Below are 17,922 nucleotides of genomic sequence, written 5' to 3'. Positions count from 1 at the left end.
TTGTCTAGACTGAGAAATACTGCTGTGGGGAGTCATTGCTTTTTACCTCTCCGATGTTGGTATTGAAAAATAGATTAAAACCATTCTAATCAAGAAAGCAGGAAAGCAGCTAGTAATACTTGAAGGAGAGCACTGACCAGGAGTCTGTTTTCGAGCACTGTTTTACTTGATTGTCAGAGCACTGAGGAGGCTGTTCCTCCTATGACAGTGAAATCCATTCTCTTCCCTACTCCAAACACAGGGTGAGAGAGAGTGGAACATAGAGATTGAGTCAGATAACCTGAAGTTCATATGGAAAAGAGAATGGCAAGATCAGTCACCTTGCTGCTTATCTTTGTTTAATTACAAATGTTTAGCAAAGGATTTATTCCATGTGATCTGGGAATGGGCAAAAAGGTCTTATATTTAAAGCCCTGAACATTGATTTGTGTTGTTGTTAATGCTCCCATCATGACTTTGGAAATGAGTAAGTTCCTAAAGGATTTTGTTGCTAAGCAGTGTCTCGGTTGTAACTAGGCCCTCTCTCAAAAAAGTAGTGGTTTTAGAAACCCAGTTTCACTCTCCTCTTGCCAGATGCAGTTTCTTCTGATTAAGGTTGAGATTTATGCCAGAGCAAAGAGGTGGCTGTTACTAATTGCGTGGGCCACTTGCAGCTTTCCAGCAAGCCGTATTCCTGCCAGTTACCTTCTGTTTTTAAATGTTTCGGGTTTATGATTGGGATGCTGTCGATACTTAACATTCGATCACAGTATATTCTTTTTCAGGATCGTTTTGGTTGTTCTGCCTCCCTTGCATTTCCATGTGAATTTTAGGATCTGTACGTGAATTTCTGCAACAATAAAAAAGCCAGCTGCGGTTTTGACAGGGATTGCATTGAAACTGTAGATGAGTTTGTGAAGTATTGCCAATTTAACAACATTAGGTCTTCTAATCCCTAGCCGCAGGATGTCTTTCCATTTATTGTAGATCTTCTTTAATTTGTTTCAATAATGCTCTATAATTTTTGGTGCGCAACTCTTGCATCTCCCCTTTAAAATTTATTCTTAAGTGTTATTTTCAATGCTAGTGTAAATGAAATTGTTTTCTTAATTTTATTTTGGTTTATTAGTACTGTATAGAAGCAAAATTGATTTTGATTATTGATCTTCTATCCTAGAACCTTGCCAAACTCATTTGTTGGTTCCAACAGGGTTTTCTTTGTGTAAGATCATGTCATCTGTGAATAGACACAGGTTTACTTCTTTCTTTCTAGTCTGGGTTCTTTCTATTTATTTTTCTTACCTATTTGCCCTGGCTAGAACCTCCAGTACAGTGTTGAATAGAAGGGGAGCGTGGGGATCCTTGTCTATTCCTGATCTTAAGGGGAAAGCATCCAGTCTTGCCTTTAGGTATGATGTTACCTGTGGGTTTCTCAGGATGGCCCTTATTAAGTTATTATTCCTAGTTTACTGAGTGCTTCATTATGAAAGGCTGTTGGATTTTGTCATTCGCTTTTCTGCACTTGTGAAGTGCTCATGTGGTTTTTGTTTCTTATTCTAATATAGTATATTACATTGGTTGATTTTCACATATTAAACCAATTTTGTATGACCTTGGTCATGGTGTATAATCCTTTTTATATGTTGTCAGAGTGTTTGCTAATATTTTGTTGAAGGTTTTTTGTCTATATTCATAAGGGATATTCTTTTTTTGAGATATTTTTGTCTGGTTTGAGTATCTGGGTATCTTGGTAATACCATTTTCATAGAATAAGTTACATAGTATTCCCTTCTCTTCTGTATTTTGGAAGATTTTGGGTTTTCTTTTTTCTTCAGATGTTTGGTAGAACCCACTAGTGAAGTCATCTGGGCCTGGAGTTTTTTGAAAGAAGTTTATGTTTGTAGAATTTCTAGTGATCTCCTCTCATGCCTGATGTTGGTGATTTGTATTTTGTTTTTTCTTGATCAATCTAGATCGAGATTTATTCATTTTACTGTTCATTTTGGAGGGCCCCCTTTTGATGTCATTAATTAAATTCTGTTGTTTGTCCCTTTCTTGTTTCATTGATTTCTGGTCTTATGTCTACGATTTCCTTTCTTCTTACTTTGGGTTTAATTTGCTCTTATTCTGACTTTTTAAGGTAGATGCTTAGATCTTTGTTCTCACATGCATTTCTTTGTTTCTAATACAAGTATTTAATACTATAAATGTCCCTCCAGGTACAGCTTCATCTGCATCCCACAAATTTCGATGATATGTTTTTACTGTTGTGCAGGCCAAAGTGATTTTCAAATTTTTCTTGTCATTACTTACATCTCTGAGTTGTTTAGTAAATTGAGTTTATTTTCCAAATATTTGAACTTTCCTGAAATCTTACTGTAATTGAGTTTTAATTGGTGGGATCAGAGAACATACTTCATATGATTATGATACTTTTAAATTATTTAGTTGTGCCTTTTTTTTTAATGGACTTAGAGTCTAATTTGGTGAATCTTCCATTTGCACTTTAACAGAATGTGTACCTTGCCTTTGTTGGATCTAGTATTCTGTAAATGTCAGTTAGGTCAAGTTGGTTACAAATGTTATTCAAGACTTACATATGCTTCCTGATGTTCTGTTTATTTGTTCTATCTGTTGTTGAGAGAGGAATGTTGGAATCTCTAAGAATAATTATCAGTTTATCTATTTCTCCTCTCAGTTCTTTTAACTTAAGATATTGTGAAAGTCTGACGGATACAGATGTATTTATGATTGTCATGTCTTCCTGATGGATTGGTCCTTTTAGTATTATGTTATGTCCTTGTTTGTCTGGTTATATTCCTTGTCTTGAAGTCTACTTTGTCTAATACTAAGATAGCCACTATAGTTATCTTAAGATTTGTCCTTGGTTGGTACATCATTTCTCATGCTTTTATTTGTAACCTATCCATATGTTTATATTTAAAGGTTTTCTTGTAGACTGCCTGTCACGTGGTCATGGCTTTTCTTTTTCTTTTTTTTTTTTTTAAGAGAGACGAGGCCACACACGGTGGCTCACACCTGTAGTCCCAGCACTTTGGGAGGCTGAGGCGGGCGGATCACTTGAAGTCAGGCATTTAAGACCAGCCTGGCCAACATGGTGAAACCCCGTCTCTACTAAAAATACAAAAATTAGCCGGATATGGTAACACGTCTGTAATCCCAGTTACTCGGGAGGCTGAGGCAGGAGAATCGCTTGAACCCAGGCAGTAGAGGTTGCAGTGAGTTGAGATCGTGCCACTGCACTCCAGCCTGGGTGACAGTGAGACTCTGTCTCAGAAAAAAAAAAGAGAGGTCCAGGGTCTCAGTCTGTCACCCAGGCTGGAGTGCAGTGGCAATCATAGCTCACTTTAACCTTGAACTCCTGGGCTCCTCAGCCTCCAGAATAGCTGGAACTACAAGTGTGAGTCACCATGACAAGCTAATTATTATTACTTTATTTTATTTTTGTAGAGACAGGGTCTCGCTATGTTGTTGCCCAGGCTGGTCGCAATCTCTTGGCCTCAAGTGATCCTCCTGCTTCAGCCTCCCAAAGGGCTGGGATTGTAAGCATGAGCCCTCACACCCAGCCCATTTGGTCATGCTTCTTTCTGACAATGTTTGCTTTTGTATCAGAATGTTTAAATTGTTTAGCTGATTACATTTAGAGTAATTATCAATGTAGCTGGGTTTCTGCCATTTTTCTATTTATTTTCTATTTCTTTAAACCTGTTTTTTGCTCAATTTTTTCCTCTTCCTGCCTTGTTTTGGATTTTAGTATCCCTTGTCTCTTTTGGTGTATTAGCTATACTCTTTTGCATGTATGTGTATGTTTTATGTGCTTGCTTTGTGTATGCAGTAGGCACTTCTCACAGTTTATCTTCAGATAATATTCTCCCAATTTATATATGATGTAAGAACAACCTTAAAACAGTGTATTTTCCTAGGTTGGGTGAGGTGGCTCATGCCTGTAATCCCAGCACTTTGGGAGGCTGCTGCCGGCAGGTCACTTGACGTCAGGAGTTCTAGACCAGCCTGGCCAACATGGTGAAACCCATCTCTACCAAAAAAGAAAACAAAAAATGAAAATTAGCCCAATGTGGTAACGCATGCTACTCAGGAGGCTGAGGCAGGAGAACCACTTGAACCCAGGAGGTAGAGGTTGCAGTGAGCCGAGATCCACGCCACTGTACTTCAGCCTGGGCAACAGATCCAGACTCCAGTGGAACACACACACACACACACACACACACACACACACAAAACAACAAAAAGTATATTTTCCTTTCTCCTCTCCTCTTGTGTGTTATTTTTTCTACATGTTATAAAGCCTACATTTCATTAATGCTTATTTATCTTTTATAGAATTTTTTAGAAACAAGATAAACAGCTTTTATATTTGAAAGATTAATCTCCTATAATTTTCCTTCTGCCTGAAGAACTTTTTATTTTTAAACATTTAGTGCAGGTCTGCAAGCCATAAACCCTCTCAGGTTTTGATTGTGTGAAATATCTTTATTTCACCTTCAAGAATCTTTTTGCTGAATATAAAATTCTGAGTTAACTTTTTTTTGCTTTTTGGTGGGATTATCTATGCTTTGTTGTGATTGCCTCTGTGCTTATTGCGATTGGGTTCATTGAGCTTCTTGGATCTGTGGACTTATAGTTTCAACAAACTTGGAAATTTTTTAGTGACTTTTTCTCCAAATGTTGTCTTCCTTCCCCTTTTTTGGGACTTCAGTCACTCCTGTGTTAGACTGCACGATGTTCTCCCATGGGTCACTGAGTCTTTATTAGCTTTTTGGTTTCTACGCTCCTGCTGTATCTTCAAGTTCACTTATCTTTGTTTCAGTAATAACCAAGCCACTATTAAGCCCATCTAGTGAATGTTTCTTTTTCAGATCAAGGAAGTTCTGTTTGCTTCTTTAAAATTTTTTTTTTTCATTTCTCTCCTCATGATAATGTTTTACTTTTAATTCTTGAGCTGCTTTAAGGTTGTTGTCAGCTGGTTCCATTATCTCTGTCATTTCCTGGGCTGTTTTTATTGACTGATTTTTCTTATGGGGCACATTTTCCTGCTTTTTAGCACTCCCTGTAATTTTTTTACTGGATGCTGGACATTTTGTGTTGTTTTTTTTCCCCCTGTATTTTTTGTAAAGACAGGGTTTTGCTGTGTTGCTCAGACTGGTCTCAAACTCCTGGACTCAAGTGATCTGCCCACCTCAGCCTCCCAAAGTGTTGGAATTACAGGCATGAGCCACTGCCCTTAGCCAGGATGTTGGGCATTTGGAATGTTGTTGAGTGTCTGGATTTTGTTGTTTTCCTTTAAATACTATTGAAGTATGTTTTGATAGGCAGCTATTGGTGGATTAACTTGATCCTTTTGAGGCTTGTTTTAAAGCTTTATTAGAGCTGATGTAAAGTAGCCTTTATGCTATATCGGGTTTAGCCCTACTGTTAAGGTGTGTTTGTTCTGAGGTCTCTACTGAATGCTCTAGGTGTTTAACAAGATCACTCCACTCTGGCTGGCCACAACTCAAATGTATCTGAGCCTTGTGTGAGTTGTGAAAATAATTCATCTTCTTGCTCCTTGGAAATACTTCTTTGCTCTCTGTCTTAGAATTTTACCCTGTGCATGTGTAGCTTATGTTCAGCCCTGGGCCGATTTCTAGAACTCTTTTTCTGTGTAGGTTCTTCTGTTCTATAAATTCCATCTACCCTGTCTTTCTGACTCTGCTTTTTCAACATAGTAAGACCATTATAATTTGTGTGGATTTACCATTTCTCTGCCGTTGTCCAGAAATTCCCTCTGGATACAATACTGGGGCAACTTGAGGGTTTACCTCTGTTTCCCTTTTTTCAGGGATTGCCCTTCTTATGCTGCCTGGTGCCCAGTGTCTTAAATTGTTACTTTATAAATTTTTGCCCAGTTTTCTAGTCGTTAACAAGTGTAAAGCCAGTTCCTCTGTCCTGGCCAGATTTGGAAATCTTGTTACTTACCTCTGATGCAGCGCTGTCTCCTCTACTAAGGCTGACGTTGCAAATGGTACTCTTGCTACAGGTTCATTGTTATTCACAGTCATGAAAAGCCTGTGTTTTGCTTTGTAACTTTTCATCTGATGTTATAGATATATTTCAAGACAATTAAATCTAACTTGCTTACTCTTTATTCCTCATGAATAGGCAGTGTAGCCAATCAAGTATTCCACCCAGTGATGTTTGACAAATGCATTCAGACTCTAAAGAAGAGCTGGCCCCAGGAATCTAACTTGAATCGGAAAAGAAAGAAAGAACAGCCTAAGAGCTCTCAGGCTAACCCCGGGAGGCATAGAAAAAGGGGAAAGCCACCCAGGAGAGAAGATATTGAGGTAAGAAGTAAGTTGAGTATAAAACATATATACCAACACACGATTTGCTTTATTTAAGGATTGACTTTATACTAAACATGGTTTCAGGCATCATGATTATAGGCAAATGGTCCTAAACCATCATAAGCTATCCAATACTGCTTTGTGTCTTCGGCTTCATATAATTTTTCTTTCTTTCTTACTTTCTTCCTTTTTTCTTTTTCTTTTTCTTTTTGAGACAGAGTCTTGCTGTGTCGCCCAGGTTGGAGTGCAGTGGTGCAGTCTCAGCTCACTGCAACCTCCACCTCATGGGTTCAAGTGATTCTCCTGCTGCAGCCTTCCGAGTAGCTGGGGCTACAGGCATGCGCCACCACACTCAGCCAATTTTTGCATTTTTTTGTAGAGATGGGGTTTCACCATGTTGGCCAGGCTGGTCTCGAACTCCTGGCCTCAGGTGATCCACTCACCTTGGCCTCCCGCTGGGGTTACAGGCATGAGCCACAACACCCAGCCTAATTCCATATTCTTATGTGACACGGTAGAATGACAGAATTTCATAGACAGCAAAAATTCTGAAAAAAAGGATTCCTCATTGACACAAAACTAGAAACTACTGTAGCGGTCATCTAGTCCAGTGATTTACTGTTGTGGCCAAGGAGACCTAGAACAGTCATGCGACCTGGTCAAAGTCATATCACCTCAACATCAGCTCCTGCCTGGAGTTTATCTGGGCTTGGTTTGGGTAAATTGAAAACCATGGGACAAAGTGTTTGGCATTTATTACAGTCACCTGTACATTTCTTCATAATCTAGATGGATGAAATTATAGAAGAACAAGAAGATGAGAATATTTGTTTTTCTGCCCGGGACCTTTCTCAAATTCGAAATGCCATCTTTCACCTTTTAAAGAATTTTTTAAGGCTTCTGCCAAAGTTTTCCTTGAAAGAAAAGCCACAATGTGTACAGAATTGTATAGAGGTAAGTGAAAATTCCAGGAACCTTAGGGCAACTTCAAAGGATTAGACTATGGCTAATACCTGATCAGTAGAAAAAATCAGGCCTTTTCTTCATATCTGTTTTCTAGGTCTTTGTTTCATTAACTAATTTTGAGCCAGTTCTTCATGAATGTCATGTTACACAAGCCAGGTGAGCCATTAAATCTTCCAGTGCTACAATTTAAGTATAGTGTACCAATTTTTGCTCCAGCAGAAATGGAAATACCATTTTATCCCAATTGGCACACAGGTAGAATTTATTCATTTAAACATGGCTTGTAGGACTAAGAAATATTCCAAGTAAAATCATATCCATTAACTAATATTTCGTCTTTTTTTTTTAGAGCTCTTAACCAAGCAAAATACATACCAGAACTGGCTTATTATGGATTGTATTTGCTGTGCTCTCCCATTCATGGAGAAGGAGATAAGGTAAAGGAGATGAGAACCTAATTTGGTTACTAGTTGAATCGAAGGCACATGAACCATATGATGGAAATATGTTAAAAGCATTTGATATAATGCCATTTCAATTTACTAGCTCATTTTCATGACCTTATATTATTTGCATAATAAAAAGTATCACTATTTCTATTTGCTCTCTGTTCTTTATTGCCAACTTTATATCTGAATACTTGGTGGCTGCAGCAAATTATTGTTAGGCTCCAGTTAGAAAAAATGGTTCTGCTGTGAATGAAATAGGAGGAACAGATAAACTGCTGAACAGTTACTTCTATAGGAACAGATGAGCTGCTGAACACTTACTTCTATAGGAATATTTCCCAAATCATTCTAAAAAGTAGAATAGTCAGAGAATTTTCAAGTTTCCCTTGGCAATTCATGTGCGCTTCAGTATTTCTATTGGTAGTTGTATTATTTGTGTTGATATGCTATGGAAATTTTGTAGGTTGTCACCCGTGGTCAGCATGGATACCTGGGTTTTGCCTCCAGGTTACCTGAACGCCACTACTACTAGAAACTTTGCAGTTAGAGTTAGTTGCGCATGATGCTGTTACTAAACTTAGATGTCTTAAATGAAACAATAAGATTTTGCAAAAAAATGTGTTGGACCAAGGTCATGTGGCTTTTGGTATCTGCGACGCGTTACCTTGCAGAGGCAGTAACCTGGTTACGAAGATATTTTTGGGGATGCTTGGGGGGTTCCGCACATCTGTGTTTGCTTTCTGACTTCACCACTTACTAGCTGTGGGTCCTTGAATGAGCCATTCACCCTGGCTAAAGCGTTAGATTTCACTTATGGACAAAAAGGACCAAAGTCTACCTTCTTTATCGATTTGTCACAGGATTAAATGAAGTTGAGCAGGCCGCCTACCGAGCACAATGCCTGTTGTTTAGAAACATTCGGTATTTTATAAGTTTAGTATCTTTATCACTTCTGTGTGCTTGAAATATGAATGTGATAACATTTACAGTAATGTTTTTAATTCGCATGCCCTTTTAAATATTTTAAACAATAACATAGGTGGGAAAATTCATCCCTTTAGGTCTACTGTGTCTCTAAAGATGGTTTTTTTTTTTTTTTTTTTTTTTTTGAGACGCAGTCTCGCTCTGACACCAGGCTGGAGTGCAGTGGCATGATCTCGGCTCACTGCAACCTCAGCCTCCCAGGTTCAAGTGATTCTCCTGCCTCAGCACCCCCTAGTGGCTGGGACTACAGGTGCGCGCCACCATGCCCAGCTAATTTTTGTATTTTTAGAGATGGGGTTTCACCATGTTGGCCAGGATGGTCTTGATCTCTTGACCTCGTGATCCACCCTCCTTGGTTTCCCAAAGTGCTGGAATTACAGGCGTGAGCCACTGCGCCCAGTCGGTATTTTTTTTTAATTGTGAAAGTACTGACTTGATGTCAGGCAATGTTGGTTTTTAGCCTTATTTTTAATTATTTGATCTTGGACAGCTCACCTTTGGAGCTTTTTTTAATTATCTGTGAAGTGGAAATTATACATGTCCTGCTTACATTATGGAATTGTTGTAAGGTTTAAAATTAAATGTATATTTTATATATATATAGTAAAATCTAGCTATGTAGATGAAAGTGCTTAATGCAATACCTACCACTTACTTGGTTTTCAGTAAATGTTTTATTTATTGGATGAATAAATTAATTAGTGACTATGTTATATGAGATAATATGTTGGAAAGTGCTTTGTAAACTGGAGGCAAAAAGCAGGTGTAAAGTATCGTTCTTTCCCCTTTTGAATAAGGGAACATTAGTAGCATTCTTTGCCCTATGTAAATGACAGTTAATTCCCTATTTGTCCTAAATTCTGGGTTATGATATGCAAAGGGTGGGGAGAGAAACTAGGTATTGTTTTTATCAGACATATCATCTGTCAGCCATTCTTTCACACTGTTTACATTGTGCATTTATTGTATCCCTGCTCATTGTTTAAGAAATATATCCCTAGTGTTCAGCCAGCAATTATGCCAGCCTGACCTACCTTCAGATGGCTTGAAATGGTTTACTACAGTCTGCATCACTATGTCTGAGACCCTTGTGTTCTCCATCCGATCTTAAATTGAATTTTCTTTTCTCTTCTAGGTCATCAGTTGTGTTTTCCATCAAATGCTCAGTGTAATATTAATGTTAGAAGTTGGTGAAGGATCCCATCGTGCCCCCCTTGCTGTTACCTCCCAAGTCATCAACTGTAGAAACCAGGCGGTCCAGTTTATCAGGTGAAGCACACAAATCGTGAATTTTCACCCTGTCAGTCTCCCTCAGTACTCTGGGCCCTGCACTAAGATTTCTGATACATGTAGACTTAAAATTTCTGGCCTGATGGTGGTTTTGGGGGTGAAAACCAAGCACTTCGTAGCTAATGTGCTTTATGTGTCTGGGTCTCTGTTGGTAGGCTCCCAGCTGGGGCACTGTTAAAGAGATAGGAATCTGCAGAACACGGGCCAGCGCCAGCCTCCAGCTTGTTTGCGCTCAATATGTGGGTCAGCCTCAGAGAGAGGATGGTGGCCTCTCCTCCTTTCCCTTGTCTGCTTCATTGCAGCCAGTTCACCTCTTTCCCTTTTCTGTTGCTCTCTACTTTGCAGCTCTTTGCTTTTGTTCTTTGCCACTTTCTTCTTGTTTCTTTGCACTTTTCTATTCCTTTCCCTCTGTAGAAATGACTTGAAGGAAAGGATTGAGTTGCTTTTTACCTCCGTAGCAATAAGTGTTAGACTACTTTTCCTCTCATGGGTCACTCAGCTTCACTTAAAAACTCTCATGCCTTAGTTTCACTGGCAAGGACATGTTTGCTGCGTTGTTGGCTTTTCCTTCCCTCCTTCACTGATTTTTGGCGTGCAGTGTGGAGGTGGTGCCGAGACATGGTGTGCATGTGCAAGTGTGTGCATGCCTTGGGTGTGCACAGTGTGCAGGGTAGTTGGAGACATGGGGTGTGTATGACGTCATCTTGTGACTGAGCAAATGTCTCTCACTAAGGACTTTTTAAAACATTAAGTAACTAAAATGTTTTAAGTGAAAACACGATCGTTTCGTTTTTTCCATGAGAGTTTCTCATATGCCAGTCGCAATAGTCTTCATGTAATGTTACAGATAAACATCACTAAAAATGGATCAAGTCTGGGCATTGTAGAAATTTCTTCTTGAGGCGGGGCGCGGTGGCACATGCCTGTAATCCCAGCACTTTGGGAGGCCGAGGCGGGCGGATCACCTGAGGTCAGGAGTTGAAGACGAGCCTGGCCAACATGGTGAAACCCTGTCTCTACTAAAAAATACAGAAACTAGGCGTGGTGGCGGGCACCTGTAATCCCAGCTACTCGGGAGGCTGAGGCAGGAGAAACTCTTGAACCCGGTGGGGGAAGTTGCAGTGAGCCGAGATCACACCATTGCGCTCCAGCCTGAGCGACAAGAGCAAAACTCCATCTACAAAAAAAAAAAAAAGAAATTTCTTATTGGGTTAAAGTTTGGAGAAGTAATGTTACTAATGCATTTCACTGAGCTACCATGAGGTGGTACTGTGTCTTAGTCAATTTTTATATTTATCCCCAAAGGATATATTTTACATCTTCATATGAAATTTAGTAAGTAGTCAAAAGAATTGTATGAAGATTACATTTTTGTTCTTACCTGATGACTTAGCTACTCTGCAGCAGCTCTCAAAACTGCACGGGAACTACTTCACAGTTTTCTACGATGACATTTTATGTCTTCACTCTTCATTCTACTGAAACCACTCTTATAGCGTGAGGTAGAGTGTTTTAATAACTAGGATTTCTAAATATAGGAGTAGTGGTTTTTGGGGACAGTCGCTGACTGTATTGTGAACAGTAGATGTGTTTTTCTTTTACAAAGCGCCCTTGTGGATGAATTAAAGGAGAGTATATTCCCAGTCGTCCGTATCTTACTGCAGCACATCTGTGCCAAGGTACTGTTTGCCTTAGTAATATTAATAACATGGAAGTATATCGTGTGTGAAGATAAATGTGTGTGTGTGTGTGTGAGTGTGGGTATTTGTTCTTGGGAATGAGTGTGCATTGTTACTTAAAGTGGTTTTATTTAATGTTCACTAGATGGTCCCCTAGACAAAAGTGTTCTATAAAAAACAAAAAAACAAAAAAACTTTGTTTTGGAAAAATGTTGAACATACACACAGAAACAGGGAAAATAGGCTGGTGAACCACCACATACCCATCACCGAGTTCCACAGTTTTGTGTCACTTAAACCCCTACCCCACATCCCCCAACATGTGTATACTGGATTGTGTTTTGAAGCAAATTCCATCATATCCTTTCACGGTAATTCCTTAATATTATCAAACATCCAGTGTTCAAATTTCCATGATGATCTCTACATTTTTATAACCATTTAGACAAATGATTCTTAATTTGAACCTTATGAAACCTGGGGATCTAAAAACTCTCTGAAATTGTATACTAAATTTGTATGTGCATTTTTCTGGAGAGATGGTTTATAGATTTCCTTTAGATTAGTTTTGAAGTGTTCTAAAACCTAAAATTTATTAGTCATTTACGTAACATTTAAAGGTCATTGAACTAGTTGTACTCACTGACTTTCAACTTATATTACAGAATATGTTTCAGCCATCCTGCGGGTGGATATTGGTTGGTCAACTTCTCTTTTTGCTTTTCAGGTGGTAGATAAATCAGAGTATCGTACTTTTGCAGCCCAGTCCCTAGTCCAGCTGCTCAGTAAACTTCCTTGTGGGGAATACGCTATGTTCATTGCCTGGCTTTACAAATACTCCCGAAGTTCCAAGGTAGGAGATAGCTCTGCATAAAACCTTGGGTCCTTTTTAAACTCTTTTTAAAAGGGTCTCTTTTTCTAGGTCTGAATGAGGAGGGTTCTTTGGTTCTTACTCCTATCTGATGGCAATTCTTATGATCTTGCTTTACCAGATCCCACACCGGGTTTTTACTCTTGATGTTGTCTTAGCTCTGTTAGAACTGCCTGAAAGAGAGGTGGATAACACCCTCTCCTTGGAGCATCAGAAGTTCTTAAAGCATAAGTTCCTGGTGCAGGAAATTATGTTTGATCGTTGCTTAGACAAGGCGCCTACTGTCCGCAGCAAGGCACTGTCCAGCTTTGCACACTGTCTGGAGTTGACTGTTACCAGTGCGTCGGAGAGTATCCTGGAGCTCCTGATTAACAGTGAGTATGGCGACTATTGGGACAGTAAACCGGTCTTGTGCTCATTGAGAAATAGACTGCAAGGGAATCGTTCTTTTCTGTGGCAAAAGTAATAGGTATGGCATGATCTATTTTTACTCTCAAAACCATTTTTAGTATATTTTCTTGCCAAATAACTTTTTAAATAGGCAAGCCTGATACATTTGCAAGGCCTTTTAAAAGTATTTCAGATGTTCATATCTGAGAGGTGACATTGGTGGCTACCTTTACTGTTGCTTTGCATTGGTGGGCATTGGTCGTATTAGGATGAATCTCCGTTTCAATGCATACCCAAGGAGAACGTTATCAGTTGTCAGCAATTTAGAATCTGTCTGCCTTGTCTTTGAGCCTAATTATCTTGATTTTGATTCCTCCGTGGATAATTACTCAGTTTATGATACTGACTTCTTCCTTCTTATCTTTCTTCTTGTTTTTAGGTCCTACGTTTTCTGTAATAGAGAGTCACCCTGGTACCTTACTGAGAAATTCATCAGGTAATGGATCAATACATTTTCAAATATTGAATGATTATCTTTTAAAAATTTGTGGAATATTTAAAATGTTTTTCTTACCTCCTTATTTACCTGCTTTAACATTGTACTTTTTTCATGAGAGAGGTTGAAATTCATTTCAGTAATAATGTTGTAACTTAAATGAGTAACATGCCCTGCTAATGTTATTAAAAGTATAACACATTTTTAGCTTAATGACTGTAATTTTTTTTTTAAAGCTTTTTCCTACCAAAGGCAGACATCTAACCGTTCCGAACCCTCAGGGGAGATCAACATAGACAGCAGTGGTGAAACAGTTGGATCTGGAGGTATGTCAGATTTTATCACTGTCAGATAGGTAATACTGCTGGATTTCAGACAACCGTAAGTAGAGTCTAAAACCTTGGATTTTTTTTTTTTTTTCTGATTTATTCACCCCTAAGAGTTGAAACAGCTGGCTGGGCGTGGTGACTCATGCCTGTAATCCCATAATCCCAGCACTTTGGGAGGCTGAGGCCTGCAGATCACTTGAGCCCAGGAGTTCAAGACCAGCCTGGGCAACACATCAAGACCCCATCTCTTAAAAAATATATATAAAAATCAGCTGGGCGTGGTGGTGTGCCCCTGTGGTCCCAGCTACTCAGGAGGCTGAGGTGGGAGGATGGCTTGAGCCCAGGAGTTCCAGGCTACAGTGAGCTCTGATCATACCACTGTACTCCAGCCTGGGCGACAGTCTGTTTAAAAAATTAAAAAATGAAAATAACACTGCAGGGCAGTCTGCTTTTTTGTACCAGCTTAGTTACTAAATAGCTGCATGATCTAGGGGTATACCTGTCGTTTTCCGGTTGTAACACCCTCCCATCTTTCCCAGACGACTGTTGGGAAAGTCTGTAGAAACAACATTTAAGAAAGTGATTTAAAGAGAGAGAGACACAGATAAGAGAGAGAAAGAGCATGTACGTAGAGGATTAATTACATAATTGGGTTTATTAATTTATTCAATAAACCTTGATCTGGTCCTTCCCGATGCGTTCCAGGCATTGGAGATGCACAAGTCTGTGAGACAGAGCTCCATCTCTTAAGGATCAGTGGAGAGACAGGTGCTTGTGCACACAAGTGTTCTCATATATACAATTGTGCACACATGTATGCGGAACACTGAGATAGGTGCCGAGATGCACAGAAAGCGCCCTGAGGATGATTACATTACTGCTTTTATTATTCAGCCTAGAAGGTCAGCGTGAAATTGGGTTCAGGAGGCTAGATATTAGCATGTATTACTCCAATTCAGAGCGATAACTACATTTATAATAAACAGGTTTTCTAAATGTGGTAGGAAAATGTACTCTGGAAAAATGCTGAATGTTTGTGTTGGCTCCAGACTTCGTCTAAACAGGTTACGGATTTACGGTGGCACAGACTTTTTCAAGCAATATCAAGTTGAGGTGATTTAATGATGCTTAAAAATTATGAAAGTTCGGGGACGCAAAGAGCCCATGTTTCCAGTGCATTGTTCATAAGCTGAAAGGACATATATTGTTGGCATTAATTGTACATTAAAAATTTTGTATAGTCACTTAGATGCACTTTGCTCTCTTTGCTTTTTCTTATTAAGGCAGAGTTCACACACCATAAAGTTCACCATGGAAAGTGTATAATGTAGTTGTTTTAGTATAGTCACAAGATTGTACAGACTAATTCCAGAACATTCCATCAGCTGAAAAATAAACCCCATAGCCATTAGCAGTCACTCCCCATGCCCCTTTCCTCCTAACACTGGCAACCAGTAATTTTCTTTCCTTATAAAATTGCCTATTCTGGGCCAGGCGTGGTGGCTCACACCGGTAATCCTGGCACATTGGGAGGCCGAGACGGGAGGAGGATCACGAGGTCAGGAGATCGAGACCATCCTGGCCAACATGGTGAAACCCCGTCTCTACTAAAATACAAAAAATTAGCTGGGCGTGGTGGCACACACCTGTAGTCCCAGCTATGAGGAGGCAGAGGCAGGAGAATCGCTTGAACCCAGGAGGTGGAGGTTGCAGTGAGCCGAGATTGCGCCACCGCACTCCAGCCTGTTGACAGAGCGAGACTCTGTCCAAAAAAAAAAAAAAAAAATTGCCTATTCTGGACATTCCGCATAAATGCAGTCATGTACTGTGTTGTCTTTTGTGTCTGACTTCTTTCACCTATAGCGTGTTTTCAAGGCTCATTCATGTTATAGCATCTATCAGTACTTCATTCCTTTTTGTGCTGAGTAATAGTCAGTTATAAGGATACACCACATTTTGTTTATGCATTCATCAGTTGATGAACATTTGGGTTGTTTTCACTTTTTGGCTATTGTGACTAATGCTGCTGTAAGTATTCTTGTATGAGTTTTTGTATAGATGTGTGGTTTCATTCCCTCTGAGTGTATACCTAGGAGGAGAACTGCTGGGTCGTATGGTAACTCTATATTCAACATTTTGAGGAACCACCACACTTTTTCAAAGTGGCCACACCATTTTACAATCCTGCTAGCAACGTATGATAATCCTATTTCTCTGCATTCCTACCAACACTTGCCATGTCTGTCTTTTTTATTTTAGCCATCTTTGTGGGTATGAGGTGGTATCTGCTTGTGGTTTTGATTTACATTTCCCTAATGGCTAATGATGTTGAGTAAATTTTCATAGGCTTATTGGCCATATACATACGTTTTCTTTGGAGAAATGTCTATTCAAGCTCTTTGCCCATTTTTTAATTGGGTTATCTTTTATTTTTGAGTTGAAAGAGTTATTTTTATATATATACCTTATCAGATATATGATTTTTAAAGACTTGTCCCAGTCTGTGGGTTGTCTTTTCAAATGGTATTCTATGAGGCACAAAACATTTTAATTTTGATGAAGTCCAATTTATCTTTTTCTTTTTTTACTCATGCTTTTGGTATCACATAGCTAAGAAATCGTTGTGTAATCCAAAGTCACAAAGATTTACTCCTGTGTTTTCTTCTAAGGGTTTTATAGTTTTAGCTCTCACATTTAGGTCTTTGATCAATTTTCAGTTAATTTTTGAATATGGTGTGATATAGGGGGTCCACCTTCACTCCTTTGCATGTGACTATCCAGTTGACATAGCACTGTTTCTTTCAGCCTGTTCCTTCACCTGTGAGTGTCTTGGCACCCTTGTAAAAAAATCACTTGACTGACTTGTATAAGCTCATGAGCTTATTTGTGTGCTCTATATTCTATATTAATGGAATTTTATTTCATTAATCTATATATCTGTCTTTATGTACCACATTGTGTTGATTGCCGTTGCGTTCTAGCGTAGGAGAGGGGAAATAATTTTTTCTTCAGTCCTCATGAGTTCTTCCTCGGGATGGATCCCCATAACAAGACAAACAAGTTTATTAACATGTCTAGTGCGTGTTATGCGGGAGAGATCTCAATGCAAAGTAACTGAGGGCTTAGAACTCCACTTACGTAACACAAAACACCATATCCAAAAAATGCTGGCAGTACAGTACACTGGAGACTCTCTGTTGTCCCCTTTTGATGGGGTGGCTGACGGGGAGCTACTCTTGCTGCCCAGCATCGTGAGAGTGTATCATTCTGCATGTCACTAGCTAGGAAGTGAGCAGAATTCAAAACTCAAAGTATGGTTTGAATGTGCATTGCTGTCACATTATTGCAAAATCAGAAAATCCTAAGTCAGGGACTGCCTGTATGTGGGAGGAAAACAATGGAGTGAGTTTTGTGAATTGCTCTGGGCTGATAAGGGTCCAGAGACCCCGTGTGTAAAGGAGAATTTATATACTGCCCATATAAATAAAGAAAAGGGAAAGGATAGACAGAGCTTTTTCTCTGTTTGCTGCTGCTTGTTAATTGTCTGCTTTAACTGTCTTCCCAGAAATAATTTTTATGTCAGAGTCATATTTTGGTGTTAACATAGTATCCTGTGATAGTCAATTTTAAATCAGGAAGTATGAGTTCTCCTCCTGTCCCTTTGTTCTTTTTTAAAATTAGTTTGGCTATTCTGGGTCCCTTGTATTTCCATATGAATTTTAAGATTAATTGCCAATTTCTGCAAGAAAAAAAAAGCCATCTTGGATTTTGATAGGGATTGATCTGTACATCAGTTTGGGGAGTGTTGCCATGTTCGTTTGTTAATTCCTCTAATCCATGAACACCAGATGTCTTTTTATTTCTTTCGGTCTTTAATTTGTATCAGTGATGTTTTGTAGTTTTCAGTGAACCATTGTTGCTCTTTAAATTTTGTCCTGAGTGTTTTTATTCTTTTCAATAGTATTGCAAATTAAATTGCTCTCTTAATTTCATTTCTGAATTGTTCATTGCTAGTTTTTACAAATTATTTTTGATAATTGATCTTCTGTCCTGCAACCTTGCCAAACTCATTACGAGCTCTAATGATTGTTTTGTGGATTCCTTAGGATTTTCTTGATATA

The 17,922-nt window shown here is 39.0% G+C and overlaps 1 protein-coding gene across 5 annotated transcripts in view, besides 3 other annotated features; it reads left to right on the top strand.

The window, feature by feature from the left end:
* NCAPD3 (non-SMC condensin II complex subunit D3) overlaps positions 1–17,922 on the top strand; it is a 75,349-nt gene that overhangs the window by 8,848 nt on the left and 48,579 nt on the right. For all 5 annotated transcript variants that reach the window (NM_001372070.1, NM_001372069.1, NM_001372065.1 and 2 more), the window contains 10 exons: positions 6,160–6,344; positions 7,137–7,301; positions 7,408–7,469; positions 7,663–7,750; positions 9,882–10,015; positions 11,643–11,715; positions 12,443–12,568; positions 12,708–12,960; positions 13,416–13,472; positions 13,709–13,798. In NM_001372070.1, the coding sequence (NP_001358999.1) occupies positions 6,192–6,344; positions 7,137–7,301; positions 7,408–7,469; positions 7,663–7,750; positions 9,882–10,015; positions 11,643–11,715; positions 12,443–12,568; positions 12,708–12,960; positions 13,416–13,472; positions 13,709–13,798 (1,201 nt within the window). In that variant the 5' untranslated portion in view covers positions 6,160–6,191. The remainder of the gene's footprint in view (positions 1–6,159; positions 6,345–7,136; positions 7,302–7,407; positions 7,470–7,662; positions 7,751–9,881; positions 10,016–11,642; positions 11,716–12,442; positions 12,569–12,707; positions 12,961–13,415; positions 13,473–13,708; positions 13,799–17,922) is intronic.
* Positions 93–293: a silencer, noted in NCBI's record as "peak1522 fragment used in MPRA reporter construct". NCBI's record gives its function as "represses an SCP1 promoter by STARR-seq MPRAs in K562 erythroleukemia cells {active_cell/tissue: K562}" and the evidence as "EXISTENCE:reporter gene assay evidence [ECO:0000049][PMID:32103011]".
* Positions 2,533–2,733: a silencer, noted in NCBI's record as "peak1521 fragment used in MPRA reporter construct". NCBI's record gives its function as "represses an SCP1 promoter by STARR-seq MPRAs in K562 erythroleukemia cells {active_cell/tissue: K562}" and the evidence as "EXISTENCE:reporter gene assay evidence [ECO:0000049][PMID:32103011]".
* Positions 9,030–9,089: a silencer, noted in NCBI's record as "silent region_4093". NCBI's record gives its function as "represses an Ori minimal core promoter by ATAC-STARR-seq in GM12878 lymphoblastoid cells {active_cell/tissue: GM12878}" and the evidence as "EXISTENCE:reporter gene assay evidence [ECO:0000049][PMID:35858748]".

The sequence above is a fragment of the Homo sapiens genome, chromosome 11, assembly GCF_000001405.40.
Source record: "Homo sapiens chromosome 11, GRCh38.p14 Primary Assembly".
In the NCBI taxonomy this organism is placed as follows: domain Eukaryota; kingdom Metazoa; phylum Chordata; class Mammalia; order Primates; family Hominidae; genus Homo; species Homo sapiens.
Note: the sequence above shows the minus strand (reverse complement) of the source record. Positions and strands in the feature narration are given on the sequence as shown.